The sequence below is a fragment of the Homo sapiens genome, chromosome 22 (assembly GCF_000001405.40).
Source record: "Homo sapiens chromosome 22, GRCh38.p14 Primary Assembly".
Taxonomy (NCBI): Eukaryota; Metazoa; Chordata; class Mammalia; order Primates; family Hominidae; genus Homo; species Homo sapiens.
In genome coordinates this window covers 35,736,737-35,749,405 of record NC_000022.11, presented here as the reverse complement: position 1 = coordinate 35,749,405, position 12,669 = coordinate 35,736,737, and the positions used below count along the sequence as shown (strand labels likewise).

Genomic DNA, 12,669 nt, shown 5'->3' with positions numbered 1-12,669 from the left:
CTATCCTAAAATAGTTCATCTTTTAAAGGTTTCTCTGTAATGCCATTATTATAAAGTAATCAGGAGAATAATCATGTTAAAGTCATCTGCTTTAAAAAAAACTCTTCATGTGTTTTTTCTTAGTGCTGATATTCTTGAGCCTTTTGTTTTCAGTAAAGTATTTGCCAACCCTGTTCTGTTTTCTTCCACTTGAAAAGCAGAGAACTTCATCATGTTTAAACTTCAAAGTCAGACTTGACTTATCAAAGAAGGAAACCGCTACAGATAGATTCTCTCCATCTCCTTCTGGATTGGAAGGAAGATTCTTTTCCATAGTCTGATCCATTTGAATTGTTTTGATTAGCAGTAACATTACTCCTAAACCACCAAGGTTCCTATGGCTTCCTGTAGGCCTAGGAAAATGAGGGGAAATTGGTTCTGTCAGCAACCTCACTTAGAACCTGTTTTTTAAGAATACAGCTTAAAGCCATGATTTGATAGAATACTCAGAGATCGTACCTCCAGTACCTCACTCAGTCTTCCTGAGAGTCAGGTGTGAAACCTACCCTTGGTTGAGTACTTTTGAACCTCAGTATCCCTTTGCAAGAATTTATACCTCTGCCGTATGGCATAAGACTTCAGTTTTTAATTTTTTTACCTAGGTAAACATGAATTGGGCTTTAACTGCTTTTGTTGCCTTAACTTTAAAATTTTTTTAATGTTACTTTGATGGTTGGAGTAATACTAAAGAGTAAAATGCTGAATTACCCTTGTTTGCAAAGAAGTTTTACTAAATAGCCCTGCTGTAACTTTACACTAGCAAACAAATTCTAAACTAATGGAACCATCTCTAGTTATAATGAAAAATTACTAGGGTTCATTTTAGTGTTAAAATTCCAACTGTAATTAACATTTGCTTTGTTTAACAAATGCTTAAAAAAAAAAAAGGTAAAGAAATACTTTAGTTAGTTTAATTATGTTGTGGCCAGGATTTACAGCTTTGCCCAGATCCTGGCTAGAATTCCAAGGAACCATGTTGATCAGAAACGGCCCCCAAGGGTGCTTCCTGCCATGTTCCCATTCATTACCATTTCATTGTCAGTGTTTGGTAATATTAATTAGAGTCTTCATATATCTCTGGAAGAATTCGTAATTAAGAAGGAAATGTTTACTTTCTAAGTCACTCATTTGAAAAACAAAGGAGGAATAATGTATAACCACTGAAAGCCAGTCAGGGATTTTTTTAAGTACATTTGAAACTACCCTGACTTCAAGCAGCATAAACTTGAAGAGCAGGAATAAATTTCCCTCACAATGCAGTTTCTTCATTTAGAGAAAGCATAAATTATATAAGGAAGAAGCAAAAGGCTTTAGAAGCTCATAAGAAATTATAGGTATTTCTAAAATAAGGGGTAACAAATAAAAGAAGCAAGCTAGGACTTGCCATGCAAGATGGTTAAGAAGAACAGGGGTCCCCTTAGAAAATAGTTGTTCTCAATCCCAAGAAATGATACAGAAGTAAATTTGAAATTTCTTTTGTAGATTTAGAAAAATCGAACATTTGAAAAAATAGGAAGTAGAAAGCACAGGGCAGAAACCTTCAGATATCCATGAGAAATGAGCACATTTTATCCACAGAAATAAAATGTTTATGCTATTGTTCACTACTGAAATGATGTTCAGTTGGGCCAGTTGAACATAGTTGTTTTTGATAGTGAAAGGCCAATAATAAAAATTTGCATCTGAATTACGTTTAGGTAAAATAGATGAATTCTATTTCATAAATAATAAAAAGTAGAGTTTGCCACTTTTAAAAATATCCTGTCTCATGTGGCAAGCATTTGTTGTTGTGATTGTCTCTTGAAATGCTTTCTGAAAGAGTGCATGATTCACCCTGATAGTGAAAACCTTTTGTATATTTGAGTTATCTAAACTGAGTTGAAATAGAAGGATGTGATGGTTTGAAATTCTTTAGGACTGAGAGGATATTTGGACTATTGGAAGAAAAGCTCAGAGTCTACTGTAAGATTAATATGTAAGAATCTCAAAACCTTTTAGGGAAGGAAAATGCAGTTAAGTGCTAGAAGCAGGGTTCCTGATCTATTTGAATCCAGCCAAAGAATCCTCAGAAATTTGTAATTGATTTGCTCAAGTATGAAATGTAGATCTGAGTTGGCAAACTTTCCGTAAAGGGCCAAGTGGTAAATATTTTTGGCTTTGTAGGACATTGGTCTCTGTCACAAGTACTTTCAAAAACAGGTGGCAAGCTGCATTGGCTCACAGGCCAGAGTTTGCTGACCCCTGATCTACATTGTTTTTCCTTCTAAATATTACCTGATTATCTTAGCTTCTTGGCAAACATGCTAGGCCGGATGGAGCAGAGGTTTCTGTTACATGCTGTAGTCTCTTATTAATGAATCAATCCAAGAACACGTTAGAGAATCTGAAGTCAACACATACAGATTTCATATATTTTAACTTTATAATTTATATTTCTTGTCAGAGTGCTCCCAACTTGCTGTAAATATTTTCGCTTTTGAAAGTTCCAACAAAGACTGTGAAGTAAGACAGATTCAAAATCATATCTTCATTCCTTGTATTTAACAGGTACTACCAAACTTTACTTTTAATACTATCACAAATTGGAAAGCAAATCCTTGCATATCGTAGGGCTTAATTTTTTATTGGAGGAATAATAACATGCAGACTGATGCAGTTTGAAACATTTTCTTCCCATGTGTGTGTCTATGTTTGTGTCAGTCCCTGTGTCTACATGTGTGTACGTCTGTGTGTGGGCGGGTGTGTGTTTTTCTGTACACCTGGGGGGAGAGGTATCTGTAAAGTCAGTTCTCTTCTCTCCTGTAGGGTGGATATGCAGCCTACAGATATGCACAGCCTGCTACTGCAACCGCAGCCACCGCTGCTGCAGCCGCTGCAGCCGCTTACAGTGACGGGTATGTACAGAGACAGTGGTGAGCTTTGGGATGCATGAGAGCTGTTCCATCCCAAAATGTCACCCATTTTCCTCCCTTCACCATTTCCACAGCAGCTCTTAGCACATCGGGCATCTTGCCAGCCTGGGCTTTCTGCAGACCTCTTGATGGCCTCTGTCATGCCTAAAGCACAAGGCACCGACTCTGTCCTCCACTCCCTCTTTCTTGTTCTCATCTCTTCTTTGACTTTGACTCCAGTCCCTCTCTTCCTCATCTCCAACTCCTTTCTTTTCCATTTTATGGAAGTACTTCAGATTTTTTTCAGTTATTGCATTTGGGAGTAGAAATAGAAAGGTTTTTTCCTATTCCTTGTAATTCCAGTTTCCTTATGATAATCCAAGACCAAGTGACTCACAAGTCTTAAAGCACAGTAATCCCTTTAATTTTTTTAGATCATACACTTTTCTTTATCTGTCTGATTGTGTTTCTTCTTTCCAGTTATGGCAGGGTGTACACAGCCGACCCCTACCATGCCCTTGCCCCTGCCGCTAGCTATGGAGTTGGCGCTGTGGTAAGTATATAATATACCATTGCTTTATAAAACCATTTCATTCCTTCTTTTACCCGTAGACTACAGAAGATCTAGGGAGGTAGTAAATTCAGCCTTTCATCCACCATCAAGGTATTAAAGCCACATAGATCTACCTGGAAGTTTCATGTCACCCTCTTTATTTGTGTGTTATTATAATGTGAGCCACATGGCCTAGTTAAGGGCAGCAGAAAGGAATGATCATTGATAATATGCCCCGAGTAGTGGCATGATTTGCGAGAGAAATAGGGGAACTGGTGAATGTTTTCTATTGGTTCAAATGTTGAGTGCATACCTGTGGCATAGTTTCATTGATAGGTGTTGGCAAAGGAGCATGGAGCATAAGGCTGTAGTATTCACAGTAAGCTTTTCAAAAACTTAAGTTTCAAATGCAAATCTAAAGGATGTCTCTGCTCTTCCTAAGCCTTCTGGTAGATAGTACTAGAAATTCCTAAGTGAATGCTTTATAGGATATTTTATTATTGATTATTGATAACAATTGTGGCAAAATATGGTGTTGTTGATAGAAGTATCGAAGAAGTCCATAGAACTAGCATAATTTCTTCTGACCAACCACCTCACTGCAGTATTATTGTGTTGGCTTGGATGCCTCCAGTTTCAGTGATTAGGACTCACAGGCTGCAACAAAGACAGGCCATTCCACAGTGACACCTCTGCCAGGGCTTTCTCTCTAATCCAAAATGCAACTGGGCAACTACCTCTGGACATGGGTAGAGTTGTTTGAAAAGGAGACAGAATGAAATGTAAAATGTAAGACCTAAAGGAATATGAGAAAGCTACTTCTCACACCAAATTTCTACTGATGAAGATTTGTGGAAGGAAGTAATAGGGGGCCCTGAGGGAATATATGTTTATAAATGAAGTAGAGCATTACAATATAACGGCAGTGGTAGAAGTGCCTGAGGTTGTATTTCGTCCTAAAATGATATAAGTCCTATGCTAAAAGAATGACCTGAGAAAGATGCATTCCTGGGAAACTTCTAATTGAAAGAGATAAGCCATTAGATAAAGTCATTTGATAAACATAAAGGAATAAAGCCTAGTTAAAACCCCAGCTAGATATGTAAATGTGAATATGTCAAGAAACAGCCTAGTTGGTGTGCTTCGTAGATGATAGAGGAAACAGACTTTATTAAAGACTGGCTCAGGTTTAGATGTGGCACCATCTCAAACATGGGCTGTGACCACACATGGCAGGGATCGTGTCAGAAGTAACGTGCACTGCCGATGGGTCATATGTGAGAAGGAGAAACTGGTGATCTGTTTTCCACCAGGATTATAAGGCTGTATCAAGGTAAACAAAAACCTGTGCTTTTAAAAATCAAACTCTTTGCGGAACTTGTTTTCAACTGTGTATTGTTTCCCTTCTGTGCTAATTCATGTAAATAATGAAATAAAATGTCGTCATACTCTCCTTGAGAATATCAGGTCAGCAATAAATGTGTTGGGCTCTGGTCTGAGCACCTTAGAAGCAGAAGTTGGTTTCCTGACTTCACTGCACAAGGCAATGCTTGATCAGTTGCTTTGAGGCTTCGAAGCAGGCTGTTTCTAGATCCCTCTCTGGACATTTTTCTTCACTGTTAATGCTTCTCTCATCAACCTTTTAATTATTTTTATCTCTTTAATTACTGCAGGCGAGTTTATACCGAGGTGGCTACAGCCGATTTGCCCCCTACTGAAGTGACGTGAGACCCCTGCAAATGGGACAGCCCCCCAGTTCATGAGGCCTGGCTATTGCAATATTTACTAGTAGAGGAACTCTATAGCAAGATGAAGAGGAAAAACAAACAAACAAACAAAAAAAAACACAAAAAAAGAAAGAATACTTTTTTATACCTCACTATGTTCTTTGAATATGTATTTTTCCTTTAAATTTCTGCCTTTAATTCTTTTGTTCCAAAGATTGTGCATTTTTTTCTTTTTTTTTTTAAACTGTGGTAAAAAAAAAAAAAATAATGCATTTCCATGTCTGTATGTCCGTGCTTAGCTTATTCTATCAATCACGGAAGAGGCAGTCAAGGAGGAAGGAGAGACATTAGGAGCCGATAAATGCATCTGATCAGAAATCAGCAGACAGAATTACCAAAGTGTATCTGGTGCTGAATGACTGGGGGACAAGCAGAAGTGGAAGAGATCTTTCTGCAACAGGATATTCTTCTAGTCTTCTGAGTTTCTGGTCTTTGACAGGCAATTCTGGTTGGCTGTGGCTGGAATCCACATGCTGATAGATAGGAATTTGTGCTTACAAAGCAGGAGAATTAAAAAGACGCTTTCCTCTCCTCTTCCCTCCTGTCTTCTCCGTTCTTTTTACAATCATCTTACACGCACAGCCTGAGACAGCTGGCATAGTTTTTGGAATTATAGTATTGATATTTCCAAACGTGCTCTCAGACAGTGGATAATAAACACCTCATTAGGAAACCGATCTCAGAATGAACTCTGGAGTATGAAAAAGATCATTTCTTTTTGTTCCTGTAACCTAGCATTCCTTCTAGGCTTCTTCTCCTTTAATTGAACCACAGCTTAGCTCATGTATTCTTTTATTAACACCCTGCTCTCATGTCCATAAGATTCAGGAATTTAGGACCCAGGGACAGAAAAGTGAATAAGCCAGTGACCAGATTTCCCCCAGATGTCTTGAGGATTAGAAGTACAAATTGTTGACAGCCATTAAAGAGGGTGAGGAAGGGAAAAGGAATATTAGAAGATCTGGTATTTCTTACTTTTTTCTTGCCTCAGAAAGTACAAAGTTTAAAAAATAGAATAAAGAATCTGCTGGGGAAAGATAGAGTACCAGGTCCTAGGTCAGTAGTCCCTGGAAGTTTTGGTGATGAGGACATGGAAGGGCAGGCAGAGGCACTTTGTACTTGCTCCAAAGCCATAGGAATTTTCATCTTCCAGAGCCTTTATGAGTCACTTCTCTATCCACAGTCTTGAGCCTGTGGCTATCCCGCTGAGCTTCTCACTGTCCTCCAAAAACACCCCGCTGAGCACCCGGACCACTTTGTACACATTAACACTACAGGACATAAAATGCAGAGGCCCTGAGATTGCTGCCCTCCCATATTGGAAGGAGGGTCTGCGATGGCAAGGGTCTTCTATATCACCAGAAAGAGTCGCGCAGTGAGTCACTGCCGTTGCCATCTGGCTGTAATTTTCTATGTTATCAAGGTAGGAGGGAGTGTTTCTCTTCTAGCTGTTAGATAGAACTGATAAAAGCAAGTGTCCTACAGCATTTCCCAAATGAAGGCATTAGGAAATAGAAAAGCACGGTCTTTTTGGCTCCCTGGTCTAGTCACATTGGTACTAGGGTGACCTTTCACCCAAGGGACAGCTGCTAAAGGGAGTAATTCAGAGACATGGAGCTTCTGGTTATGGGTTTGTTTTGGGTTTGTTTTTAACTCCTGCCTCCACACATGTTCTTGACTGATAACTGACTCATGTCCCTGAATTAAAATGACTGACCTATGACAGCATCAAGCATTCTTTGTAAGCAGAGTGATATATCTGAGAGGGCGTTGACCTGTTGTGTAGAATACATATCCTTTCCCCCTTCAGAATCCTGTCTCGCCTCGTAACTGGGAGAGAGGCTGTGCCTGAAACTAGGGGCGATGTCAAGGAAGCTAGAGGCCTCGATGCAATTATTACTGACTCTGGGGAGGAAGACAGAGAATAAGGGGACACCAACTGCCCAGTCCACTGGCCATTTTTAAGGGTCCCCCCACCCCAAGCCAAAGTTTGGTTTGTTGCTGTTAAGACAATTTTTGTTGTATGTATATAAATATTTTAGTTAGAGGAGCGGGGAATGGGATGCGGGCTTTCACAGTTCTAGGGAATGGGGGCAGGGAGGATTTTGCTTTTGCTTTTGCTTTGAGGGAGAACTTTAGCTGACTAAAAAAACAGAAGTTTGGGGTCATGATCACAAAGGGGCCATTCCCAAAAGATGGCAAGCCACGTATTCAGTGGAGACTAGGCCAAATTCTAAATGGTTTTATCCATAGCAGGGGAGAATAGGAGAATGAGTTTAAGAGTTTTTCTCTTCTTTTTTCCTAGAAAGAGGTAAGGATAATGGGAAAGGTAGAGAAGGCGGCTCCCACAGACCTTTTAAGAGAGGCAGAATCTTGAGCTTGAGGCACCTTGAGTGCATCTCAGTTCAGCTGGTTCTGGCTGAGGCCTCCAAAGGCAAGCTCTGTGCTTTCCAGTGGTTTCTGCTGCATTTCCAGGGATGGTGTTTAACACCGCTTCCTCCAGCTCCCTTTTCTAAGAAAGAATAAATGGAGTTCTGCTTTTTATGAAAGGGTCTTTGGTTTTCAGTGTCAACACTGAGAATTGGGGCTCTTGCAAGCATCTGGATTTCACAGTATCAACCTCCCCGTCACCTTTTGAACTTTGAGACTCCGTACGGTCAACTTCACCAGAGGCAGGTTGCTCGAAGCAGCACTGCTTGTCTGTTCCTGACTCTGGTTCTCACTGTATTAAAAAAGAGAGTCAGAGGAGTCTGGCATTTCGTGAGTTTGTTAGAGGATGCTGGCTGATAATTCCAGAAAACTTACTGATGCTAAATCACAGTACATGCATGATTCTTTTTCAGCTTTACTATAGTTCATGACCTGGACTTTCTGTACTCTTGGAAGCTGGGCTCCTTAAAGGAGGCCTCTAGTGAACACCTTTATCTCCATGTCCCTCTTAGAGCCCAGAGAGCTGCCCATAGGCATTTTCCAGAATTCCTCATGTCACCTAGTTCAATTTCCATTAACTCAGATCAGCCATTGTGATTCACCATTTGTCAGGCTCTCAGGTTTAACAAAACCTACTATCACCATCATCCTTCAACAGCCACAGTCTGAATTGAGCCAACATTTTTTTTTCTTTGAGAAAGAAGTGGACTGGGGCACAACTTTTAGTCTGAGGGGAGCTAGTGGAAATCTAGACAATAGAAGTCATCGATAGCAGCTTTTCCTCAAATGTGTGACTCCTCAGGGGCTAAACTGCTCTTAGCTTAGAATTATGCTTTACTAGAGATCTAGCAGATAAGTGGGTTAATCACTACCATCCTGTAACTAGTTATATAGCTTCCAGACATGAGGGAGACATCAAACAGGGATGGAAGCAACCCCAAGGATATGCAAGAAGGGCATGATGAACCCCCTTCCCTCTGGCAGGAGAACAAGGCCAACCAAGGGACAGACTGGAAAGCACTTAGATGTTTAAGGAGGAGAAAGGGGAAGCTTTGACCAGTCCTTGCCTTTTGCCAAGTTCAGCCAGTTCTCCGCTGCTTGCAACCTCTAGCGCAGTAACATTTGCAGAATTGCAGATTTTCCCCCAGATACTAGGAGGAAAGGGACTTTGGGGGGTGGGGAAGGGGTCGTGGTGTTTTAAAAGCATAAGTTACCTGTTTGCACTGTTTTAAGATAGGAAAAAAAAATAGTGGGCAAGGTGAACATCAGACGTAAATTTGTGTGTTTTTATTTTGTCATGCTCTTGAAAATGTTTGACCATTTGTAGTATACACAGTGAAACTTGATTCTCTGTTGCATAAAACACTATATTTTTTTGGAAATGTTACTGTCCAAAAGCCTCTTCCCTCCCTTTCCTTTTCCTATGTACTTCCTTCATACTTGCTTTACTGATCAGCCAGGCAATAGCCATCCAAGAGCTAGAGCATGAAACAGGGCCCTTTCCAAGTAGGCTCTGGGTGTCCTAAGCCAGCGTGTGCCCTCTGGTTTAGTGAGTGTAATAGAGTCCCTGGCACCTTTCTTTGCAAATGAGGCTAACAGACCAGACTGCAGCAAGTTATCAGATTCCTCAATCAGATGCACTAGGAGTGAGGAGCCCAGGGATGGAGGGGGTTCCTGAAGTATTGCAGTTGGCTGTAGTAGCTGAGTTCTTTTCCATGTTACCGAAACTGTAGCCAGTTACAGTTTACTCAGGAAAACGGTAGATCAATTCAGCCATGGTAGTGCTGGTTGGCAGGGATTGGTAACGGAGAGAACTGCTCATCAGCCAAAACTCAAGCCTTGCCTTTTAGGAGGCCACCAGCAGAGGGACTTGGTCCTCCTTGTCTGGTACTTGTGTACATGCCGGTGACCTGAGGACTCCACTCACACTGGCGAGCAAAAAGGGAGCAGTGATTCTCTTTTCTCTCCCCACCCCCTGCCCTTTGTTACCAACACCAGTTTCCCAGGGGGTACATGAGTTTCTGAATTTTTAAAAAATGTTTTTGGTTTGGTTTTTCTGGGGACTGATAAGTGCTTTAAGCAATGTCCATACCCCGTCAAGACTCCCAGCTTAGTCATTTTCTTGTATTTTTCTGTTCACAGTATTTGTGTGTGTGCTTGTTTTGGCAGCTCATTTTGGCTGTATTATATATTGAGTGATGAATTGATCCTCTTTTTTCCCTAAGGGATATGAATTGTTTTTCTTGTGTTATATTCTGCTTGTGAATAGCTGGAGCAAACCTGGGGCTGACACGCGTAAGCTAGGGCTGCAAAGCGAGAAGAGAGCCGGTGGAGTGTACTTGTCCCTGACAGGCTGACCTACCTGAGTCTCTGAGCTTTTCAGTCCAAATCTTTGCAAGGCTCAAAATGCCACAGAACCTCTCCTCTTCTCCCCACTCCCCATGGCAGGGACCGGACCATCCCTACATGCAACATGCTGTTCCTCCAGCCCCTCCCATTGCCATGGCAAAACAGGTACCTTTGGGGCATGGGGGCATTACATGGGATGCTTGTGTAATCGACCACCTAGCCTTCTCTCTCCCCTCCCGTCCTCCCCCAGAATCACTTCCTAGGACACCCGAGCTGCTTGCCCAGGGTCCTGTTTCCCTGCTAACTCCAGAGAAGCATCCCAGGGCTTTGTGACAGTCTCTAATTCCCTTCCCTTCTCGTTAAGAATCATATTGTATAGTAGCTTTCAGACCATACAGTATTCATTGGGTTACTCCTATTATTATCAAGTAGCTGGAATTGTGAAGGTCGGAGTAGTTAGATCTTTAGCTTTTATTCCTTATTTTTTTGTATTACTCTCCATGTGTATAAATTATTGATCATGTTGCTGGCTTTTATAAACTCTAAGCGAAGGAGGAGCACTGCCTCAGCCTTTGCACATGGTAATGAAGCACTGTTTTTAAATAAAAGAGAGAAACACCATTCTTTGGGCTGTGTGTATTAATCCTCGTTCCCTGTTGCCTCTGCCTGAGGCTCCAAAGATACCACTTGGATTTGACTTTTTAAGCGGGGGGCGGGGGGGACAAGAAGGAAAAGTGCCAGGCGTTCTAAGGTGAGACGTTCTAAATGGTGATGAGAAGCCAGAAGGTAAGCGTGTGTCAGCTGCTCTCAGCTTCCCCAGCTGTGAACTCCAGTCTGTCCAAAAGCTGCTTCTGAAATCTTTCAGCTTCACTTCTTCACCGTCCACCCTCCCCTAGATTCAACTGCTGCCTTTACTGTACCACAGACACTGTCCTTGCCAGGGGCTGTGGCCCCACTTGACCTTATCAAAGTGTTATTTCCCTGCCTTGCCTCCTCTGTCCCTGCTGCCCCTGGCTCTCCGGCTGCCACCCAGGCTCCTTCACTTTTTGTTCAGCCATAGAAAATATGTCCTGCCTAGCCCTTTCCTCCCTGTTTCTTTTCTTTTTTTCCCCTTGAGACAGGGTCTCACTGTGTCGCCCAGGCTGGAGTGCAGTGGTGTGATCAAGGCTCACTGTAGCCTCAAACTCCTGGGCTCAAGTGATCCTCCCACCTCAGCCTCCCGAGAAGCTGGAACTACAGGTGCACGCCACCACACCCGGCAACATTTTTTGTAGAGATGGGGCTACACTGTGTTGCCCAGGCTGGTCTCGAACTCCTGGCCTCAAGTGATCCTCCCACCTCAGCCTCCCAAAGTGCTGGCATTACAGGCATGAGCCAGCACACCTGGCCTCTTTTCTTTCTTACCTGTGCTGAAACCCATCCCTTGCTGCATTTGTTTCGTTTCTCAGCCAATAATTCCCAAATCTCTGAAATTCTCCATAATCCATAAATCTCTAACTCCCTTCACTTCACCATATGAGATCATCATGCTTCCTATTTCACAGAATATGGAGGTTGTCAGACATAGTCTCCCTGAATGAAGTTTCCCTACCAGATCTACAAGCCTACTTGAATTCCACACAGGGTGTCTTTCCCCTTCTCTCTCGTTCTATTAGAGGCATTCTTCACATCACCGTGAACCCCACACCTGTGCTCTGCATCCCAGCCTTTCCCACCTGCTCGGTGCTTTGCTTCAGTTTCCTCCCTTGCCTGGTTTGCCTCTTCCTCTCAATAGTCCCTTTGGCACTTAAGCGTGCTTAGATCTTAAGTTAAAAAAAAAATTGGAAAATCTCAAGTTATTCCTTGTACTCTTTTTTTTTTTTTTTTTTTTTTTTTTTTTTGAGACAGGGTCTCACTCTGTTGCCCAGGCTGCAGTGCAGTGGTGCTATCTCGACTCACTGCAACCTCTGCCTCCCAGGTTCAAGCAATTCTCTTTCGTCAGCCTCGTGAGTAGCCGGGATTATAGGAATGCACCACCAAGCCTGGCTAATTTTTGTATTTTTGGTAGAGACGGAGTTTCACCATGTTGGTCAGGCTGGTCTCAAACTCTTGACCTCAAAGATTCACCCGCCTCGGCCTCCCAAAGTGCTAGAATTATAGGTGTGAGCCACCACACCTGGCCCTAAGTTGTTTCTTTTGTGGCAAACTTCTGGAATAAGTTTCTACCGGCTGACTCCAATTACTTGATCTTCACCCTGTGGCTGCCTGCCTTCTACCTCCAGTACCTGGAAGCAGCCCCTGAGGATGACAGTGAACGGATGCTCCTCTGTTCACCTGCTTGACTGCTGAGTGTTCCCAAGGCTGCTTCCCTTGTGTGTTGGACTGTGACAGGCCAAAGTGAGCGAGTACCTCACCACCACCACCCACTCCAAGCTGGCACGTCCTTGCCCGGCCTCGTCTTATCTCCTAAACTGGTCTCCTTGCCTCCACCTTTTCTCCGACAGCTCTCCATCGCCGAAGTTTGTTCTCTCGACAGCCTGTTCAATCGGATTGTGACGTGCTTTTGTGCAAACTTCTTTGGCTTCCCATCCCGTAGCCAGTTCCAAGTCCTTATTTTGGTCTACAAGGCCCTGTACAATGT

The 12,669-nt window shown here is 42.5% G+C and overlaps 1 protein-coding gene across 57 annotated transcripts in view; it reads left to right on the top strand.

The window, feature by feature from the left end:
• The window catches only part of RBFOX2 (RNA binding fox-1 homolog 2), a 290,089-nt gene extending 279,419 nt beyond the window's left edge, over positions 1–10,670 (top strand). For 56 of the 57 annotated variants that reach the window (NM_001394108.1, NM_001394111.1, NM_001394110.1 and 53 more), the window contains 3 exons: positions 2,845–2,933; positions 3,411–3,483; positions 5,157–10,670. In NM_001394108.1, the coding sequence (NP_001381037.1) occupies positions 2,845–2,933; positions 3,411–3,483; positions 5,157–5,201 (207 nt within the window). In that variant the 3' untranslated portion in view covers positions 5,202–10,670. Of the gene's footprint in view, positions 1–2,844; positions 2,939–3,410; positions 3,484–5,156 lie in introns of those variants that run through there. The other variant, XM_006724193.4, reaches the window with a different exon arrangement.